Genomic DNA, 18,896 nt, shown 5'->3' with positions numbered 1-18,896 from the left:
AGGTGGTGGGTACAGACTACGTGTTCCACAATGACACCAAGGTCGTCTTCCTGTCCCCGGCTGTGCCTGAGGAGCCAGAGGCCTACAACCTCACGGTGCTGATCGAGATGGACGGGCACCGTGCCCTGCTCAGAACAGAGGCCGGGGCCTTCGAGTACGTGCCTGACCCCACCTTTGAGAACTTCACAGGTGGCGTCAAGAAGCAGGTCAACAAGCTCATCCACGCCCGGGTGAGGACGGTGCAGCCCCGGGTGTCTGGGTCCTGCTCGGGTCTGGGCTGAGAGCTGGTCCACCTGTCCCTGGTTCCCTCCTCCTCACCCCGACCACTGCCGCCTCCCCAGGGCACCAATCTGAACAAGGCGATGACGCTGCAGGAGGCCGAGGCCTTCGTGGGTGCCGAGCGCTGCACCATGAAGACGCTGACGGAGACCGACCTGTACTGTGAGCCCCCGGAGGTGCAGCCCCCGCCCAAGCGGCGGCAGAAACGAGACACCACACACAACCTGCCCGAGTTCATTGTGCGTGAGCGGGGACTGGCGGGGGGTGCCCCCACGGGACCGCGCTGAACCCGGCCCCCCACACAGGTGAAGTTCGGCTCTCGCGAGTGGGTGCTGGGCCGCGTGGAGTACGACACACGGGTGAGCGACGTGCCGCTCAGCCTCATCTTGCCGCTGGTCATCGTGCCCATGGTGGTCGTCATCGCGGTGTCTGTCTACTGCTACTGGTGAGCCCGCCCCCCGGCTGTGCCAACACCCTGAGCCCTCGGCCCTCCCGCCTCGGCCCCTCTGGCCTCATCCGCCGCCCTGCACAGGCAGGCGTGTAGATCCACCTCCTCATCCGGGCAGCTGAGCGGCCAGCCCCGGCAGAACCTAGGAGGCCCGCTGTGCCTTGCAGGAGGAAGAGCCAGCAGGCCGAACGAGAGTATGAGAAGATCAAGTCCCAGCTGGAGGGCCTGGAGGAGAGCGTGCGGGACCGCTGCAAGAAGGAATTCACAGGTAGGGACCGCTTGGGGGCTGGTGCTGGGGCGCCTCCTGGGGCGGGGATGCTGTGTGTAGCGTGGGGGTCAGGGCCCCACGTGGCCAGGGACGTCTCACGCCAGCCTCCCCCCAGACCTGATGATCGAGATGGAGGACCAGACCAACGACGTGCACGAGGCCGGCATCCCCGTGCTGGACTACAAGACCTACACCGACCGCGTCTTCTTCCTGCCCTCCAAGGACGGCGACAAGGACGTGATGATCACCGGCAAGCTGGACATCCCTGAGCCGCGGCGGCCGGTGGTGGAGCAGGCCCTCTACCAGTTCTCCAACCTGCTGAACAGCAAGTCTTTCCTCATCAATGTGAGCCAGGCGTCGGGCGGGCGGGAGGGCACACAGGTGGCGCCGGGCAGGCTTTGACCGCCGGCCCCTACAGTTCATCCACACCCTGGAGAACCAGCGGGAGTTCTCGGCCCGCGCCAAGGTCTACTTCGCGTCCCTGCTGACGGTGGCGCTGCACGGGAAACTGGAGTACTACACGGACATCATGCACACGCTCTTCCTGGAGCTCCTGGAGCAGTACGTGGTGGCCAAGAACCCCAAGCTGATGCTGCGCAGGTGCACATGGGCGGGGCCACGAGCGGGGCCACGGGCGGGGCGGCCGCAGGGGCTCTGGGGCTGGTGGCGGGTGGCACAGCGGCCTGTTGGGCCCCCAGGAGCCGGCAGGTGCCAGCCAGCGCTGGTGGTGGGGGGCGGTCTAGGGGTGGTGTCCCCGGCCACAAACTCAAAGCCGGACTCTAGCCCTTCCTGTCCAGCGGTTTCAGCTGGTCACAGTGTCAGCCCTCTGCAGAACAGAAGGAAGGTGGCACACTTCCCACAAGGGCTGGAGCTGCCACCAGGTAGTCCTCGCTGCAGGCCACACCCAGGCTGGACAGGGGCGAGGCTGGCGCAAGGGTGGCCGGGTGCTTGGAGGAGTCAGTTGGGCCTCAGGAATACTACGGGGTCACTCGGTACAAGGCCTCCCTGCACCCCCAGGTCTGAGACTGTGGTGGAGAGGATGCTGTCCAACTGGATGTCCATCTGCCTGTACCAGTACCTCAAGGTGGGTTCCACCCCAGCCTGGCTGGGGCTTGAGGGATGAGGCAGACTGCTGCCATCCCCTCCTGCGTTCCCCTATCTGTACGGCACCTTGAGGTGGGCCCTGCCTGGACAGGTTTGCTTCCTGCCCCTGACATGGTCAGCCCCGTCCATGCCTCTGGCCAGGGCTCCGGGGGCCCCTTCCAGGCCCCAAGTCCCCTGACCTCCCAGCCTCCCCTCCGTGTTACTCCAGGACAGTGCCGGGGAGCCCCTGTACAAGCTCTTCAAGGCCATCAAACATCAGGTGGAAAAGGGCCCGGTGGATGCGGTACAGAAGAAGGCCAAGTACACTCTCAACGACACGGGGCTGCTGGGGGATGATGTGGAGTACGCACCCCTGGTGAGCTTCTGGGGTGGGGGCCGCCATGGGCGCCTCGGATCTGGGCTAAGGAGCTTGGGCATCCCCTGGCCACAGATGGGACCCACAGGCCAGAGGCCGTCCACCTCCTCTGTGGATTCGAGTTACAGCCTGCTCTAACTCGGCCTCAGGGAGGGGCCTGGGTGCTGGTGGCTGTGGGCTCTGGAGGCTCTAAGTGTGCGGGCCCCGCATCAGCTCTTCCCGGGCGCCCCCACCTCCTGGAGGCCATACAAGGGCCTGGCACACCAGGTGTGTCCAGGGTTCTGTGCATACATGACCAGTGGGTGTGGCAGGAGCCTGTGCATGTGTGAGACGTGTGTATTCTGTGTCTGTACATGTGCTTCCATGAGCTTGCGTGACAGCCTGAGTGAGCGGTTCTGAGCCGTCCCCGTCTTTCTGTCCTGCTGAGCCGGAGCAGGCAGGGGAAGGGCAGAGTGTGGTCATCTGGGAAGCCTCGGGGGCTCGGAGCCGGGCTGGCGGGGGCCTGCTGCCCAAGGGTGCCGCTGTGGTGGGCAAAGCTGGCGGGGCAGGGAGTGGCTCCTGCATGGTGCAGGTAAGAGCAGGGCCTCCCACTGGGCTTCATCCCGGATGTCTCGGCAGACGGTGAGCGTGATCGTGCAGGACGAGGGAGTGGACGCCATCCCGGTGAAGGTCCTCAACTGTGACACCATCTCCCAGGTCAAGGAGAAGATCATTGACCAGGTGTACCGTGGGCAGCCCTGCTCCTGCTGGCCCAGGCCAGACAGCGTGGTCCTGGGTGAGTGCCGGCCCCTGCCCGTCTGCACACAGGCGCCCATGTGCCTGGCCTGTGTCCTGGGGCGGTATCCTGCCTGGCCAGCTTTCTCATATGGGAGTGGTGGGCAGTGGGAGGAACCTGGGTGGCTGGGGCCCAAGCTGGGCTGTCTCTTCCCACAGAGTGGCGTCCGGGCTCCACAGCGCAGATCCTGTCGGACCTGGACCTGACGTCACAGCGGGAGGGCCGGTGGAAGCGCGTCAACACCCTTATGCACTACAATGTGAGCGTGTAGGCCGGGGCGGGCGAGAACTGGGCACCCTGGGGGCACAGCCCACCCTCACCGCCGTGTTCCCCAGGTCCGGGATGGAGCCACCCTCATCCTGTCCAAGGTGGGGGTCTCCCAGCAGCCGGAGGACAGCCAGCAGGACCTGCCTGGGGAGCGTGAGTCCCTCCCTGTTGCCCGTTTCCTTCCAGCCCCTGGTGGTCAGCGTGGACCATGTCTGCCCTGGACACATGCACCCCTGCCCACCCTGCCACCACTGCTCCCTGTGGGACCCAGGCCCCCAGACCTGGGTAGGGGTCCCTCAGTGCCCGCTCCCCACAGGCCATGCCCTCCTGGAGGAGGAGAACCGGGTGTGGCACCTGGTGCGGCCGACCGACGAGGTGGACGAGGGCAAGTCCAAGAGAGGCAGCGTGAAAGAGAAGGAGCGGACGAAGGCCATCACCGAGATCTACCTGACGCGGCTGCTCTCAGTCAAGGTGGGCCCCCATGGGTGTGTGGGCGGCACCAGGCCGCCACGCTGAGACCCTCCCCCCCAGGAGCCGCGCCCACGGCGTCACGCTGAGACCCTCCCCCCCACAGGGCACACTGCAGCAGTTTGTGGACAACTTCTTCCAGAGCGTGCTGGCGCCTGGGCACGCGGTGCCACCTGCAGTCAAGTACTTCTTCGACTTCCTGGACGAGCAGGCAGAGAAGCACAACATCCAGGATGAAGACACCATCCACATCTGGAAGACGAACAGGTGAGGCTCCACACCCACCCCGCGGCCCAGCCCCGGCTCCGCCTCTCACTTGGGAGGCTCCACACCCACCCCGCGGCCCAGCCCCGGCTCTCATTCCCTGCTGCTCTGCCTCAGCTTACCGCTCCGGTTCTGGGTGAACATCCTCAAGAACCCCCACTTCATCTTTGACGTGCATGTCCACGAGGTGGTGGACGCCTCGCTGTCAGTCATCGCGCAGACCTTCATGGATGCCTGCACGCGCACGGAGCATAAGCTGAGCCGCGTGAGTGGGGTGGGGGCAGGTCTGGGGCAGGGAGGCCTGGGTCTGTCCCCAGGAGGCATCTTGTGAGTTGGGACCTTGTCTGGGGTGTGGATTTGAATATCTTGGGCTGGAGCCCTTGATGTAGGAGGTGACGGGTGGCGGAGGCTGGGGGCACAGGGGCCCGGCAGAGCCTGGGAGATCCCGAGAGCCCTTGCCCTCTCTCCTCCTGAGACCTCTCACCACAGCACACGAGCAGAGAAACTGAGTTTTACTACAGATCACAAAATAAGTAGTTTTCTTTTTTTTTTTTTGAGATGGAGTCTCTCTCTGTCGCCCAGGCTGGAGTGCAGTGGCGCGATCTCTGCTCACTGCAACCTCCGCCTTCTAGGTTCAAGCGATTTTCCCGCCGCTGCCTCCTGAGTAGCTGGGACTACAGGCATGTGCCACAACGCACGGCTAGTATTTTTAGTAGAGACGGGGTTTCACCATGTTGGGCAGGCTGGTCTCGAACCCCTGACCTCAGGTGATCTGCCTGCCTCAGCCTCCCAAAGTGCTAGGATTACAGGCCTGAGCCACTGCGCCCGGCCCATAGTTTTCTTGATGAAAGTGTCAGGAGTTCGGGGCAGGGGAAGCTACCCAGGGGTACTCTGAGCAGCCCCAGCCTGGCCCCCTTGGCCAGGCATCACTGGGTTTTGTCCCCAACAGGATTCTCCCAGCAACAAGCTGCTGTACGCCAAGGAGATCTCCACCTACAAGAAGATGGTGGAGGAGTAAGTCTGCCTGCCCTCCAGGCCAGGCCCCCATGCCCACCCTCGACCCCCTGCGGGGAGGTTCAGGCCTTGGTTTCCCCCACCACCCCCTTTGTGGTCCCTGCCGCCCACACTGTATGATGCTCCCACCCCTGCAGTTACTACAAGGGGATCCGGCAGATGGTGCAGGTCAGCGACCAGGACATGAACACACACCTGGCAGAGATTTCCCGGGTAAGGAGACCACCAGGGACGCACCCACAGCCCTCCCCGCTCCCACTACCCCATGCTGAGCCTGGCCCTGAGCTGCAGGGCAGGGGTAATGTGGTGCTGAGGGGGAGAGAGGGTGGGGCGGGACCTCGAGGTGGGCTCGGCCATGTGAAGTGAGCCACAGCTGCGTGTGGGGAGTATGAGCTGCTCCTGCTTGGAGCCAGGCCCTGCCCACAGCGCCCCCTCCCTGCGGCTGCACCCACGGCCGTGCCCACAGCGCCCCCTCCCTGCGGCTGCACCCTCGGCCGTGCCCACAGCGCCCCCTCCCTGCGGCTCCATCCACGGCCGTGTCCACAGCGCCCCCTCCCTGCGGCTGCACCCACGGCCGTGCCCACAGCGCCCCCTCCCTGCGGCTCCACCCACAGCCCTGCTCACAGCACCCGTCCCTGTGGGTCCATCCACAGCCGTGCGTCACACAGGGAGACACTGAGATGGTTGGATGTGCACAACTCTGCCTGCGTGGGTGTCTGTCTGAGGCTGTGCCACATGGGGGGCCCCAAGTGCCAGCTGTGCCCAAGGCCCCAGCTGCTTCCCCGGGGAGGCCTCGTCCTGGGCGTCCCGTACTACTCCTGCCAGCCCTGGGGCTCCCACAGCCCCTTTTCCACCCTGACTGTCCCGTCACCCCCCAGGCGCACACGGACTCCTTGAACACCCTCGTGGCACTCCACCAGCTCTACCAATACACGCAGAAGTACTATGACGAGGTAGGGTCAGGCCCCCGGGGGCGGGGGCAGGTGGGGTGCTGGGCGGTCCCCCGGTGTGCTCTGATGCGACCCTCCCTCAGATCATCAATGCCTTGGAGGAGGATCCTGCCGCCCAGAAGATGCAGCTGGCCTTCCGCCTGCAGCAGATTGCCGCTGCACTGGAGAACAAGGTCACTGACCTCTGACCTACAATCTCCAGTGCTGCCTTGGGACATAGGTACCTGAGGTACCTGAGAGCCCCTCAGGGGAGGAGGCCGAGTGGCTGTGGCTGAGGCCCCCACCCTCCCCTGGAACGCGCCCCAAGCCGGAGTGGGTGCAGCCGGAACCCGCCCAGCGTCTAGACTGTAGCATCTTCCTCTGAGCAATACCGCCGGGCACCGCACCAGCACCAGCCCCAGCCCCAGCTCCCTCCGGCCGCAGAACCAGCATCGGGTGTTCACTGTCGAGTCTCCAGTGATTTGAAAATGTGCCTTACGCTGCCACGCTGGGGGCAGCTGGCCTCCGCCTCCGCCCACGCACCAGCAGCCGCCTCCATGCCCTAGGTTGGGCCCCTGGGGGATCTGAGGGCCTGTGGCCCCCAGGGCAAGTTCCCAGATCCTATGTCTGTCTGTCCACCACGAGATGGGAGGAGGAGAAAAAGCGGTACGATGCCTTCCTGACCTCACCGGCCTCCCCAAGGGTGCCGGCACTCTGGGTGGACTCACGGCTGCTGGGCCCCACGTCAAAGGTCAAGTGAGACGTAGGTCAAGTCCTACGTCGGGGCCCAGACATCCTGGGGTCCTGGTCTGTCAGACAGGCTGCCCTAGAGCCCCACCCAGTCCGGGGGGACTGGGAGCAGTTCCAAGACCACCCCACCCCTTTTTGTAAATCTTGTTCATTGTAAATCAAATACAGCGTCTTTTTCACTCTGCGGGTTGGCTGAGTGTTCCTCCTGGGGCTGCAGTGCCCCTGTCCACCACCCCTTCCCTGGGCTCTGTGGGTCCTGCTGGGAGGGGAGCTGTGGGGAGGTGGAGGGGGCTGGGAGGGGTGCTGGGGGAGGTGGAAGGGGCTGGGAGGGGTACTGGGGGAGGTGGAGGGGGCTGGGAGGGGTGCTGGGGGGAGGTGGAGGGGGCTGGGAGGGGTGCTGGGGGGAAGTGGAGGGGGCTGGGAGGGGTGCTGGGGGAGGTGGAAGGGGCTGGGAGGGGTACTGGGGGAGGTGGAGGGGGCTGGGAGGGGTGCTGGGGGGAGGTGGAGGGGGCTGGGAGAGGTGCTGAGGGGAGGTGGGGGGGGTGGGAGGTGGGACTGCTTCTGGTGCCATCTGGTGGCTTCTTTCGTGCAACACATTCTTACCAAATGCCCGCTGCACACCACGCATGCACTGTCCTGAGCGCTAGGAACAGCAGCAACCAGGACGGGCAGGGCTCAGAGCCTCCCCTGTGTGCCAAGAATACAGACAGCCCAGGCAGAGGGCATTCGGTGCTCCAGACACAAAGTGAAGGCCCAGCTTCAAATGTGGCTGGATCCAGGCACACATCCTGAGGTTCTGCTGGTCTGGACTGCTAACCCACTCACGAGGATCCATTCTCAGGCAGCCCCAGCCTGTCTCCCCACCTGGGCACGTCATGGCTGGGGTCTCTTGATGGGCAAGGCCTCCATTGATCGAGTCCCCTTTGGACTGGGGCAGCTCTGTAGGGACCAGCCCCACAGGGTCAGTGGGTCTCTCCGTGTGCGGCGACGAGAGAGTGTAGAAATAAAGACAGAAGACAAAGAGATAAGAGAAAAGGCAGCTGGGCCCAGGAGACCACTACTACCAATGCATGGAGACCGGTAGTGGCCCCGAATGTCGGGCTGCGCTGTTATTTATTGGATACAAGGCAGAAGGGGCAGGGTAAAGAATGTGAGTCATCTCCAATGATAGGTAAGGTCACGTGGGTCATGTGTCCACTGGACAGGAGTCCCTTCCCTGCCTGGCAGCCGAGGCAGAGAGAGAGAGGAGACAGAGAGAAAGACAGCTTACGCCATTATTTCTGCATATCAGGGACTATTAGTATTGTCACTAATTTACTACTGCTATCTAGAAGGCAGAGCCAGGTGTACAGGATGGAACATGAAAGTGGACTAGGAGTGTGACCGCTGAAGCACAGCATCACAGGGAGACGTTTAGGCCTCTGGATAACTGCGGGCAAGCCTGACTGATGTCAGGCCCTCCACAAGAGGTGGAGGAGCAGAGTCTTCTCTAAACTCCCCTGGGGAAAGGGAGACCCCCCCCCCTCTTTCCCGGTCTGCTAAGTAGTGGGTGTTGTTCCTTGACACCTTTTGCTACGGCTGGACCACGGCCCGCCTGGTAACGGGCGTCTTCCCAGACGCTGGCGTCACCGCTAGACCAAGGAACCCTCTGGTGGCCCTGTCCGGGCATAACAGAAGGCTCCCACTCTTGTCTTCTGGTCACACCTCACTATGTCCCCTCAGCTCCTATCTCTGTATGGCCTGGTTTTTCCTAGGCTATGATTATTGAGCAAGGATTATTATAATATTGGAATAAAAAGTAATTGCTACAAACTAATGATTAATGATATTCATATATAATCATATCTAAGATCTATATCTGGTATAACTATTCTTGTTTTATATTTTATTATACTGCAACAGCTCGTGTCCTCTCTCTTGCCTCGGTGCCTGGGTGGCTTGCCGCCCACACAGCTCCATTCAAGCCACGATGAAAAACGGGTGGCCATCTCTCCCCCACAAGAGAAAGGGGTACAAGGCCAACTGACATCCCCTGCTCCAAGGATCCCTGAAATGACATTGGGTTCCCCCCTTACCCAGAGACATGGCTGGTCAGGAGATCAGAGCAAGGGGGTGGACCGAAGGCTTAAGTGCTGAGCGGGAGGTCTCAAGTAGGGAGCTGGGAACCTGGAGGCCTGGCTTCCGTACTAGACCCCTGCAGTCCACCTCTTCCCTGTCCCACTGGGCAGTCAGGAAAGAAGGGAAGGGTCAGTGAGACCCCACACACATGAAACTTGGGGCTGGGGAGAGGCTGCAGGCCCAGCAGTCCAGCATCTGGGTGGGGGCAGGCACCGGGTAGAAGCTGGGCATAGCTGCTGGGGTGCATGCGGTGGGCTGGAGTGGTCAGCTGGCGACAGACGAGGGGTGGCCTGTCCTTCCTGGTGCTTTCCAAGTCCCATTTTCCTCCCAGAGTGGTGGGAGGAGAGGTGGCGGGTAGCTTAACAGCCCAAGGCTACATCCTGCTTGCTTCTTACAGGCAGGACAAGTCCCCTGCTAAATCAGCTCCGCGACCACCATCGCCTGGTCTCCCGGTGAGCAAGGCCAGATTTGCCTTTTAGGAAGTTCACTGACTGCAGGAAGAGGCCAGCTGGGAGGGACCAGCAGGACCAGAGAGGAGCTGTCACAGTGACAGCTCCAGTGAGGAGGGGTGGCCAGGACCAGCGGGGGTGGGGTGGGGGCATGAGCACGGAGAAGGGGTGGCCTGCTGTATTCAGGGGCCACAGCGAATCAGCTGGGTAGGAGAGGCGCCTCTGGCCCAGGGCTTCTCACTCCTGCCCTGCCACCGGCCCTTCCTGGCTCCCCTGCCGCTTCCCCTCTGGGCCTGGGACTGTCCTCCACCGGCGGCTCCCTCCAGGGGGGCTTCCCTTGCCCCCGCCGAGCTCTGAAGGTGCCTCTCCTGGAAGATGGCCTCCAGGCCCTGACGCCACCCGAAACTCCTCAGTGATCACTCCCTTGCAGTGCCACGACCCCACACTGTCCCCAGTAGGCACATGGGCGGGACCTCTAATGCCTGGGCAGGCAGGGGGTTCCCGGGGCAGGTCAGCTCAGTGATGAGAGGGGCCCGTTTCCACCGCCCCCCGCCCCCACCCCCACCCCACACGCCCGCCTGACCTGCTGAGCGGCCGGGGCCTGCAGCGAGGCCGCGAGGATTGCGGGCGGACGCCTGGGGGAAGCCTGACACCTCCCCACCTCCATGTCCCCCACCCTAGGGGCGAGAACGGAGCCGCCCAGTCCACGGGGAGGCGCAGGGGCGGGGCCGGTCGCCATGGGAACCCGACTCCCGCCCCGCCCGGCCGCGGCGCAGACAAAGGCCGCTCCCCTCCCCCGGCGGCCGCGGCCGCGGTTCCCACAGCTCCGGGGCTGCGCTCCGGCCTCCTCCTCCTTTAGCTGAAGCTCCATTAACTCTGCACAAAACCTCGGCCCGCCTCGGCCGGGCCCAGTGAAAGGCGCTCCCGGGCGGGGGCCCTCGGGGAGGCTGCCCGTGTCCTCGCCCCAACCCAGCCCGAGCGAGGAGAGGGGCCATCCCCGGGCCCGCGCCAGGCCCCCAGCCGGATGCCGGCTTCCAATGGGGAAACTGAGGCACGGGGCTTGGTCATGCAAAAGGGGCCGGAGCGGCTGGGACTGAGACCCGTTCCTTCGCCGCGGTCCGCATGGGTCCGGTGGCCAGCACCGTGCTGGCTGTTTTAATTTGGTTGCCGATATATAAAAATCAGATTTGACATTAAAACTCGGATTTTAGTGTTTTAAAAAAGGAGTGTTTTGGGCCACTGGGATCCTGATTTCTCACTTCGCTGGAGGGGGTCGCCCAGCCGCGAAGCCTCCCACCACGGCTCTACCAGGGCGGAGGTCGGTGGCCGGTGTTCCAGGGAGCAATGCTCCGCCGAGCCCCGGTCGCTTTCAAGTGGGAATAAAAGTAGCTGTGCGGCCCCGAGCGCGGCAGAGACGCCGAGTGGGGCGCTGCCCCCGTCACCGCCAAGGCAGCCCCCCGCGCCTGCCCGCCCGCGGGGCTGACTTCAAGGACCCTGCACCCAAAGGCGGCTCCTCGGACCTGGGATAGTCAGGGTGGGCTTCCTAGAAGAGGTGGCCGCTAAGGAGGAGGAAAGGTTCTGGGCAGCAAAAAGGATCCGTTTGGGGCCGCTGCTTGTGGGTAGGAAGGCCCCGGGGTGACGCCGCTGTCCCTGGTCCTGACAGTCCAGCGGTCGCGCCTCTCTCAGAGGGGAGGTCAGGGCGAGCCGGGGCAGGAGGCCTGGAAGGTTCCCGGGGCGCACCGCGGACCAAGGCCTGCAGGTCCTGCGCAAGAAAGCCAGGCCGGCCCTGTCCCAACGCCTTTCGGCTTATTTTCCTATCCAGTGCCGAGTCTTTAGAAGGTGCTATTCATATTTCTGTCTTGAAAAATACTTCCCATGGTTTACCCCTGGCTTCTTCGCTTTTGACGGTTCTCCCTCGTTGGGGAGGGCGCCGCCGGGGTAGGGAAGCCCGGGCCGAGCCCAGACGCGGGCGCAAGTCTGGAGAAGCGCGCGGCCCCCAAGAGGTGAGAGCCGGAGGGAGGTGTCCGCCCTCGGCGCCCCCCCCGGGAAGGGGAGGGCTGGTTTCCGCTCTGCCACCGCCTCCGAGGCGCAGGAAGCAGCGCATTTGTCTCCGGGAACCCCCCCACGCCCCGGCCACCCAGCCCGGGAAATCCGCCCGGGCCTCCCGGCCCCGCCCCGGAGCCCCGCCCCGCCCGCCGCCGCCGCCGCCTCCGCCGCCCTCCGCTCCGCTCGGCTCGGGCTCGGCTCGGGCGCGGGCGCGGGGCGCGGGGCTGGGCCCGGGCGGAGCGGCGGCTGCTCCGGACATGTCGGGCCCTCGCGCCGGCTTCTACCGGCAGGAGCTGAACAAGACCGTGTGGGAGGTGCCGCAGCGGCTGCAGGGGCTGCGCCCGGTGGGCTCCGGCGCCTACGGCTCCGTCTGGTAGGGGCGGGGCAGAAGGGGTGCTGGGTGGGGGCCGGGCCGGGCCGGAGAGCGCGTCCCCTCCTCGCCCGCGCGAGGTTCTCGGCGTGGGGAGGGGCCTCGCCCTGCCTCCGCCCCCGGGCGCCAAGCGGATCTGAGGAATGAATGGGGGGGCGGGGGTGGCGGCGTAAAGAAACTTTCCAAGCAGACGCCGTTACCGGGAGGGAGGGGGGTCCTCCGGCCTCTCCCGATTCGGACTGCTCCCCACCAGGCCTGAGGCCTGGGAGGTCACAGCTGGCGTGAGGGTGGGTCTCACGCGACCGAGCCCCGAGCCACCCTGATGTCCGGGCCCCTAAACGTCTGAGCACCCACCTGAGATTCACTGAGTCGGGTCAGGCAGCCCCCCGGGGTCTAGCGGATGACCCTCCCCCGCCCGGGCTGGGGGCTATTGTCTGAAAAGGGAAGCCCCGCTCCCGGAAGCCAAGATCTCTCCCCCTGGGATGGCCTCAGACTCCCCCTCAGACCACAAACCCCACTTAGGCCCTGGGGCCAGAGGACCTGGCCTGGGGCCCAGGAAGACGACAGAGTCTGGGTGGGGGAGGGGGGTCAACTGGGCCAAGGTCTCTGTTAGACCCGGGTAGCCAGGGCTGGAGGGGCTTAGGGTGAGGTAGTTACCGGGAGTCCTAAGTTTCAGCCTCCATGTTGACTGGGAGGCTGATCATGGGTACAGGCTTTGAGAGGTGCAGCTGAGTCCTCACCATGGCCAATGCCGCTTAGCTGCTGCCCACTGGGGGGTCCTGGTGGGGCGCAAAGGCAGAGGCAGCCAGGGCAGAGCTCTGCCCCAGGCACTTGCAGGTTGGAAGTGGGACCTCTAGGCCCACCAGATTTGGAGCTCAGGAGCCGGCATCAGGGGCCGGGGGTCCCAGGGCAGGCTGTCTTCTGGTGTGGTCCCTAGCCTTCCATCAGAAGCTGTAGGTGGGTCATTCTAGCCATCATGCCAGCACAGATCTGTCTTCCTCTTTGAGACCTGAAGGGCAGGAAGAGGGTCTGGGACGGTGTGGGAGTGGCCATAGGGGACTAGGGTGGGTCATGGCTGGACTCGCCGTCTGGGAGTTGCTGAGAGGTGTCCGGTTCTCTGAGTGAGGCCTGGTCTCCCCCCTTGCACCCCTGGCCCATTTTCTTAGTTCCACTGCCAAGGCTGCGGGCCAGGTGCCAATTCCCTGTCACCTGACCGCACAGATGCAATTGGCCAAAAGAACTTGCTGCCCCACGTGCAGGGCCACTCCCCTCACCACCTCAGGAGCACCTTTCCCTGGTCATAGGCTGGGAGCATGGCTGCCCCAGGCACCTCGACCTGCGCCCATGAGCATCCCAGACCCAGCAGGAGCCGCTCCTGCTCCCCTTGTGTGGGCATGGGGGGTGGCCTCAGCCTCCACTTGCTCTGAGACAGGATCCCAAGAGACAGAAGTGGGAGGGAGAGAAGAAGCAAGTATCAGCCAGAGGGAACAGGCTGTGCAAAGGCCTTTCCTTTAGCAGGGCTGAGGGCAGTGGGACATGGGAGGGTGGGATGAGGGTCACCTGCAAAGGGAGGGTGGGCTCAGGAAGCTGGTGCAGGGTAGAGGGTCTGGACCTCTGGGAAGTGGGGCTGGGCGAAGGGCTGTTCTGTGGGTCCAGCTGACGCCCTCAGCTGTACATCACCTTCTGTCCCGGTTTTGTTCCAAATAATGATGCAATAAACACCTCTGACCAACTTTCCCTCCGTATTTTGAACATTCGGAGGCACCAGGGGTCCAGGGGCTTTGAGGTGGCTCTAGAATCCCCCTCTGTGAGCCTCCTGGGCCCATGGGGTCTATGGGGCAGAGGGAGGCCCGTCTGCTGCAGGTGAATGCCAGTGACTGTTTTCCTGCTGTGTTTTTCCACGCTGGATGGGGCACCTCTCCCCCAGCCTTGCTTTGAATGGGGGCCCCTGGTTGAGCGTGGGAATCAGTGGGGCCAGGGGACAGAGAAGGTCCAGGACCTTGTGGGGTGAACACACGCATGGTGGTCCAGCCCCAGGGGCTCCTTCCCAGCAAGCGCGGAGTGGGTAGGCCCGAGGGTGGGAGGCCGAGCTGGGGCGGCGGGGCCGGGGCAGAAAAGCCCCACGGCCCCATCCCCACGGAGAAGCGGCGAGAGGGACGCCGCCCGGGTCCACGCGCGTGCGGCCGCCCTCGGACCCCTCCCGGCGCCGCCTCACTCGCCCGCCTTCCAGTTCGGCCTACGACGCCCGGCTGCGCCAGAAGGTGGCGGTGAAGAAGCTGTCGCGCCCCTTCCAGTCGCTGATCCACGCGCGCAGAACGTACCGGGAGCTGCGGCTGCTCAAGCACCTGAAGCACGAGAACGTGAGCCGGGGGAGGGCCGTGGGGGGAGGGCGCGTGCGGGGGCGGGGCCGCGGCGCAGCCAATAGGCGGGCGAGCCCTGGCGATGGGGGCGGGGACACAGGGGGCGCGGCCTGGCACTGGGGGCGTGGCCCGGGGGGAGCTGAACGACAGCCGGGGGTTCGTCGCCCGGCCCTGACGCCCCCCGCCACCTAGGTCATCGGGCTTCTGGACGTCTTCACGCCGGCCACGTCCATCGAGGACTTCAGCGAAGTGTGAGCGGCGGGGCGGGCGAGGCAGCGGGGAGCGCGTTCGCGGTGGGGCGGTGGGGCCCTGTCCTGACCCCCTGACCCCGCCCCAGGTACTTGGTGACCACCCTGATGGGCGCCGACCTGAACAACATCGTCAAGTGCCAGGCGCTGAGCGACGAGCACGTTCAATTCCTGGTTTACCAGCTGCTGCGCGGGCTGAAGGTGGGGCGCCCTGGGCTTCGCGGGTCCTCTCGCAGGGGGGCGGGCGGGCCGGGCCCGGCGCTCACCACAATCCCCCTCCCGCAGTACATCCACTCGGCCGGGATCATCCACCGGGTAGGTGCGACCGCAGGGTGAGGGTCGGGTCCAGCAGGGCTCCGTCCCAGCCTCCTGTGCTCACGCTCCGCGTGACCTGCAGGACCTGAAGCCCAGCAACGTGGCTGTGAACGAGGACTGTGAGCTCAGGGTGAGGCCCGTGGGCAGGGGTGGGCAGGGCGGCGGCGGAGCCCGTGCGGAGCTTGAGAACACCACGTGGTCGCCCCAGATCCTGGATTTTGGGCTGGCGCGCCAGGCGGACGAGGAGATGACCGGCTATGTGGCCACGCGCTGGTACCGGGCACCTGAGATCATGCTCAACTGGATGCATTACAACCAAACAGGTGCAGGGGGAAGGCCTTGGGGGGACGAAGGCCAAGGGCCTCGTCTGGCCCTCGACTGGCTCTGCATGCCAGGTCTTAGGGGGCAGGCAAGGTCCCCAAGAATGTGGGACCCACATTCAAAAGTAGCCCTTCAGAGGCCGCTAGAGCATGATGGGTGCTGGCCTCCTCTGGCTGTGCAGCTATGGACCTCCCCCTGCCTAGGGGGGTTGGGTATGGCAGAGGAGGGGGTCTGCCCATCTTGGGGTCTGGATGTGACTGTGGGTCTCCTGGAGGAGGGACGTGGGGTGGGCACACTGATGGAGGTCCCCTCGCCCTCGCACAGTGGATATCTGGTCCGTGGGCTGCATCATGGCTGAGCTGCTCCAGGGCAAGGCCCTCTTCCCGGGAAGCGACTGTATCCTTGGCCCAGGTTGGGGAGCAGGGTCAAACAGGGCCCCTCCTGTAGGGTAGGGACCAGCGCTGGCCCCTTCTGGCGGGTCTTGCCTCCTCTGCCCCCCATGCTATGCTACTTTGGGCTGGCCATCCTCACCTATAGGAGAGCGGGCTCTGGGCAGCGCCCCAAAGTTTTGGGTCTGGGGGCCCAGGAGGGGTCTGTGGCTGGCCCGTGGGTGTTTCCTGAGTGACACAGACATTGACCAGCTGAAGCGCATCATGGAAGTGGTGGGCACACCCAGCCCTGAGGTTCTGGCAAAAATCTCCTCAGAACACGTGAGTTGGTGCCCGCCAGCCAGCAGCTCCCTCTCCTGGCTGAGCCCCCAGGCTCTCTGGGGGAGAGGGTGGTGTGGAAATGCGGGGACCATATGGGGAACATGGGATGTGGTGGGATAGAGCCTAGGGCAGGTGCCCAATCCCTGCAGGGGAAACAGGAGAAGGGGGAAGACATTCCTGACACCAGGGACAGTGAGTGCAAAGCCATGACCCCAGCAAGCAGTGCCTGGCCAGGGCAGTGGGGGTGGGCTGGGGGCCCAGCAAGCAGTGCCTGGCCAGGGCAGTGGGGGTGGGCTGGGGGACCCCAGCAAGCAGTGCCTGGCCAGGGCAGTGGGGGTGGGCTGGGTGGAGGGAGTGTACTTGGACCCAGCTCCTGCAGGCATTAGGGGCCAACTGAGGAGCTAGAACCACCAGATCCTATATGGAGGGGGTCACTGGTCTGCCTGTGCCCTTGTCCTGGCCTGTTGGAGTGAATGAGTCTGGGGGCTTGCCAAGAGAAGCCCCAGTTTGGGGCCAGGGAGGCAGAGAGTGAGCAGCCTCCCCAGGTGTTCTTGTGTGCCCCCAGGCCCGGACATATATCCAGTCCCTGCCCCCCATGCCCCAGAAGGACCTGAGCAGCATCTTCCGTGGAGCCAACCCCCTGGGTGAGGACTGCCCTGGGCTAGACTGGGCTCCATATCTGGCCCTGGATGTACAGCTGACCCCCCTCCCCACCACTGGCTTCCCTGCAGCCATAGACCTCCTTGGAAGGATGCTGGTGCTGGACAGTGACCAGAGGGTCAGTGCAGCTGAGGCACTGGCCCACGCCTACTTCAGCCAGTACCACGACCCCGAGGATGAGCCAGAGGCCGAGCCATATGATGAGAGCGTTGAGGCCAAGGAGCGCACGCTGGAGGAGTGGAAGGGTGAGCATGGCAGTGGCTGGGGGTGGGTCCAGGGGCCTGCGGGCTCCATTTCCCCAGAGGCAGGAAATGCCCCAGTTCCTCTCCAGACTGGTCAGGTGTGGAAGGGCGTTCAGGTGTCCAGCACAGGCTGGGAGCGGGGCGGAGGAGTGACACAGGGCAGGTTCTGGCTCCCAGACTGTGCTGAGGCTGCTGTCACAGGGTGGTGGGCCTGGGCTGGGTGGCAGGTGCCAGACAAGCAGGTGAGGGGCCGGGCTGTGGGAGGCACAAGCTCACCCTTTCCCTTCACCTCCTAGAGCTCACTTACCAGGAAGTCCTCAGCTTCAAGCCCCCAGAGCCACCGAAGCCACCTGGCAGCCTGGAGATTGAGCAGTGAGGTGCTGCCCAGCAGCCCCTGAGAGCCTGTGGAGGGGCTTGGGCCTGCACCCTTCCACAGCTGGCCTGGTTTCCTCGAGAGGCACCTCCCACACTCCTATGGTCACAGACTTCTGGCCTAGGACCCCTCGCCTTCAGGAGAATCTACACGCATGTATGCATGCACAAACATGTGTGTACATGTGCTTGCCATGTGTAGGAGTCTGGGCACAAGTGTCCCTGGGCCTACCTTGGTCCTCCTGTCCTCTTCTGGCTACTGCACTCTCCACTGGGACCTGACTGTGGGGTCCTAGATGCCAAAGGGGTTCCCCTGCGGAGTTCCCCTGTCTGTCCCAGGCCGACCCAAGGGAGTGTCAGCCTTGGGCTCTCTTCTGTCCCAGGGCTTTCTGGAGGACGCGCTGGGGCCGGGACCCCGGGAGACTCAAAGGGAGAGGTCTCAGTGGTTAGAGCTGCTCAGCCTGGAGGTAGGGGGCTGTCTTGGTCACTGCTGAGACCCACAGGTCTAAGAGGAGAGGCAGAGCCAGTGTGCCACCAGGCTGGGCAGGGACAACCACCAGGTGTCAAATGAGAAAAGCTGCCTGGAGTCTTGTGTTCACCCGTGGGTGTGTGTGGGCACGTGTGGATGAGCGTGCACTCCCCGTGTTCATATGTCAGGGCACATGTGATGTGGTGCGTGTGAATCTGTGGGCGCCCAAGGCCAGCAGCCATATCTGGCAAGAAGCTGGAGCCGGGGTGGGTGTGCTGTTGCCTTCCCTCTCCTCGGTTCCTGATGCCTTGAGGGGTGTTTCAGACTGGCGGCTCCAGTGGGCCAAAGGGCAACCACATGAGCATGGGCAGGGGCTTTCTCCTTGGATGTGGGACCCACAGCAGCTTCCTGAGGCTGGGGGTGGGTGGGTGGGTGGTTTGGCCTTGAGGACGCTAGGGCAGGCAGCACACCTGGATGTGGACTTGGACTCGGACACTTCTGCCCTGCACCCTGGCCCGCTCTCTACCTCTGCCCACCGTTGTGGCCCTGCAGCCGGAGATCTGAGGTGCTCTGGTCTGTGGGTCAGTCCTCTTTCCTTGTCCCAGGATGGAGCTGATCCAGTAACCTCGGAGACGGGACCCTGCCCAGAGCTGAGTTGGGGGTGTGGCTCTGCCCTGGAAAGGGGGTGACCTCTTGCCTCGAGGGGCCCAGGGAAGCCTGGGTGTCAAGTGCCTGCACCAGGGGTGCACAATAAAGGGGGTTCTCTCTCACTTGGCTTGTATCCAAAGGCTACTCCAGGCCCGGGTGCCCCCACCATCCCTGCTGCTGGGCGTGGGGGGAGTGTCTGGGTCATCCTGCATCACTCACCTCCAGCTGGCCAGATCCCTCAGGCCCCCAGTCAGACCAGCGGCCATCTTCTGGCACCCTCCCTGCTCCCTGGAGGGTCTGAGAGCCCAGGGGGACCAGGGGAAGACATGGCTGATGGGCAGACTTTGAGGGCACAGGGTGTGACAGCCACCCAGATGGTGACCCCAGCTGCCCTGTGGGGATGTACTGGGCAGGCTTGGCTTTGGGCCAAGATCCAGACACCACCCCCGCCTACCCCTCAGTGTTCAGGGAAGCTGGCTGGGGAGAAGTTGGGTGTCTCAAGGAGCAAGGGTCTGCCCATCCCTGGGTGGGGGCTGGGCAGGGTAGGGAAAATAGCTTTCCTTTCCCTCCTGGTGAAGGAAAAAGAGGCCACTTTAACCCAGGGAATGTGCACGCTGGTCCCGTTCCCACTACGCGCTGCAGCTTAT

At 64.3% G+C, this 18,896-nt stretch overlaps 2 protein-coding genes across 33 annotated transcripts in view, besides 7 other annotated features; both read left to right on the top strand.

Moving 5' to 3' along the window:
* Positions 1-7,105, top strand: part of PLXNB2 (plexin B2) — a 32,668-nt gene extending 25,563 nt beyond the window's left edge. For 27 of the 30 annotated variants that reach the window (NM_001376869.1, NM_001376866.1, NM_012401.4 and 24 more), the window contains 18 exons: positions 3-230; positions 342-518; positions 585-724; positions 895-995; positions 1,111-1,340; positions 1,414-1,595; positions 2,013-2,079; positions 2,308-2,454; positions 3,073-3,229; positions 3,388-3,488; positions 3,565-3,649; positions 3,813-3,967; positions 4,071-4,231; positions 4,346-4,493; positions 5,178-5,242; positions 5,380-5,455; positions 6,121-6,195; positions 6,276-7,105. In NM_001376869.1, the coding sequence (NP_001363798.1) occupies positions 3-230; positions 342-518; positions 585-724; positions 895-995; positions 1,111-1,340; positions 1,414-1,595; positions 2,013-2,079; positions 2,308-2,454; positions 3,073-3,229; positions 3,388-3,488; positions 3,565-3,649; positions 3,813-3,967; positions 4,071-4,231; positions 4,346-4,493; positions 5,178-5,242; positions 5,380-5,455; positions 6,121-6,195; positions 6,276-6,380 (2,400 nt within the window). In that variant the 3' untranslated portion in view covers positions 6,381-7,105. The remainder of the gene's footprint in view (positions 1-2; positions 231-341; positions 519-584; positions 725-894; positions 996-1,110; positions 1,341-1,413; positions 1,596-2,012; positions 2,080-2,307; positions 2,455-3,072; positions 3,230-3,387; positions 3,489-3,564; positions 3,650-3,812; positions 3,968-4,070; positions 4,232-4,345; positions 4,494-5,177; positions 5,243-5,379; positions 5,456-6,120; positions 6,196-6,275) is intronic. The other 3 variants (NM_001376885.1, NM_001376884.1, NM_001376883.1) reach the window with 2 other exon arrangements.
* Positions 5,710-5,779: a silencer, noted in NCBI's record as "silent region_13968". NCBI's record gives its function as "represses an Ori minimal core promoter by ATAC-STARR-seq in GM12878 lymphoblastoid cells {active_cell/tissue: GM12878}" and the evidence as "EXISTENCE:reporter gene assay evidence [ECO:0000049][PMID:35858748]".
* Positions 9,327-9,867: an enhancer, noted in NCBI's record as "H3K4me1 hESC enhancer chr22:50710646-50711186 (GRCh37/hg19 assembly coordinates)". NCBI's record gives its function as "activates a minimal SCP1, AML or CMV promoter by ChIP-STARR-seq in naive H9 embryonic stem cells {active_cell/tissue: H9 hESC(naive)}" and the evidence as "EXISTENCE:reporter gene assay evidence [ECO:0000049][PMID:30033119]".
* Positions 9,868-10,407: an enhancer, noted in NCBI's record as "H3K27ac-H3K4me1 hESC enhancer chr22:50710106-50710645 (GRCh37/hg19 assembly coordinates)". NCBI's record gives its function as "activates a minimal SCP1, AML or CMV promoter by ChIP-STARR-seq in naive H9 embryonic stem cells {active_cell/tissue: H9 hESC(naive)}" and the evidence as "EXISTENCE:reporter gene assay evidence [ECO:0000049][PMID:30033119]".
* Positions 10,015-10,364: a silencer, noted in NCBI's record as "silent region_13967". NCBI's record gives its function as "represses an Ori minimal core promoter by ATAC-STARR-seq in GM12878 lymphoblastoid cells {active_cell/tissue: GM12878}" and the evidence as "EXISTENCE:reporter gene assay evidence [ECO:0000049][PMID:35858748]".
* Positions 11,444-12,033: a silencer, noted in NCBI's record as "silent region_13966". NCBI's record gives its function as "represses an Ori minimal core promoter by ATAC-STARR-seq in GM12878 lymphoblastoid cells {active_cell/tissue: GM12878}" and the evidence as "EXISTENCE:reporter gene assay evidence [ECO:0000049][PMID:35858748]".
* MAPK11 (mitogen-activated protein kinase 11) lies at positions 11,704-18,371 on the top strand. 3 transcript variants are annotated; one of them, NR_110887.2, is made up of 13 exons: positions 11,704-11,907; positions 14,135-14,264; positions 14,457-14,515; positions 14,602-14,713; positions 14,798-14,827; positions 14,910-14,957; positions 15,036-15,150; positions 15,473-15,544; positions 15,779-15,858; positions 16,424-16,502; positions 16,590-16,763; positions 17,057-17,289; positions 18,207-18,371. NR_110887.2 is itself a non-coding variant. In NM_002751.7 (12 exons), the coding sequence occupies exons 1-12, from the start codon at positions 11,792-11,794 to the stop codon at positions 17,134-17,136; spliced, it is 1,095 nt and encodes a 364-aa protein (NP_002742.3). In that variant the 5' UTR covers positions 11,704-11,791; the 3' UTR covers positions 17,137-18,371. The 3 variants fall into 3 exon arrangements, 2 of the variants coding, with proteins under 2 accessions (NP_002742.3, XP_047297403.1); NM_002751.7 differs by having other exon boundaries at positions 17,057-18,371; XM_047441447.1 differs by lacking the exons at positions 11,704-11,907; positions 14,457-14,515 and having other exon boundaries at positions 14,173-14,264; positions 17,057-18,371.
* Positions 12,054-12,113: a silencer, noted in NCBI's record as "silent region_13965". NCBI's record gives its function as "represses an Ori minimal core promoter by ATAC-STARR-seq in GM12878 lymphoblastoid cells {active_cell/tissue: GM12878}" and the evidence as "EXISTENCE:reporter gene assay evidence [ECO:0000049][PMID:35858748]".
* Positions 14,232-14,301: a silencer, noted in NCBI's record as "silent region_13964". NCBI's record gives its function as "represses an Ori minimal core promoter by ATAC-STARR-seq in GM12878 lymphoblastoid cells {active_cell/tissue: GM12878}" and the evidence as "EXISTENCE:reporter gene assay evidence [ECO:0000049][PMID:35858748]".

This window comes from Homo sapiens, chromosome 22 (assembly GCF_000001405.40).
Source record: "Homo sapiens chromosome 22, GRCh38.p14 Primary Assembly".
In the NCBI taxonomy this organism is placed as follows: Eukaryota; Metazoa; Chordata; class Mammalia; order Primates; family Hominidae; genus Homo; species Homo sapiens.
The sequence above is the reverse complement of the archived record's forward strand: the minus strand, read 5'-3'. Positions and strand labels throughout refer to the sequence as shown.

Bases quoted from the DNA above. Each gene is read 5' to 3' on its own strand.
- MAPK11 (NM_002751.7), top strand. From the start codon at position 11,792: ATGTCGGGCCCTCGCGCCGGCTTCTACCGGCAGGAGCTGAACAAGACC. The intron at 14,265-14,456 runs GTGAGCCGGGGG...CCCGCCACCTAG, and splicing joins AGCACCTGAAGCACGAGAAC to GTCATCGGGCTTCTGGACGT. The intron at 15,545-15,778 runs GTATCCTTGGCC...TGAGTGACACAG, and splicing joins CCTCTTCCCGGGAAGCGACT to ACATTGACCAGCTGAAGCGC.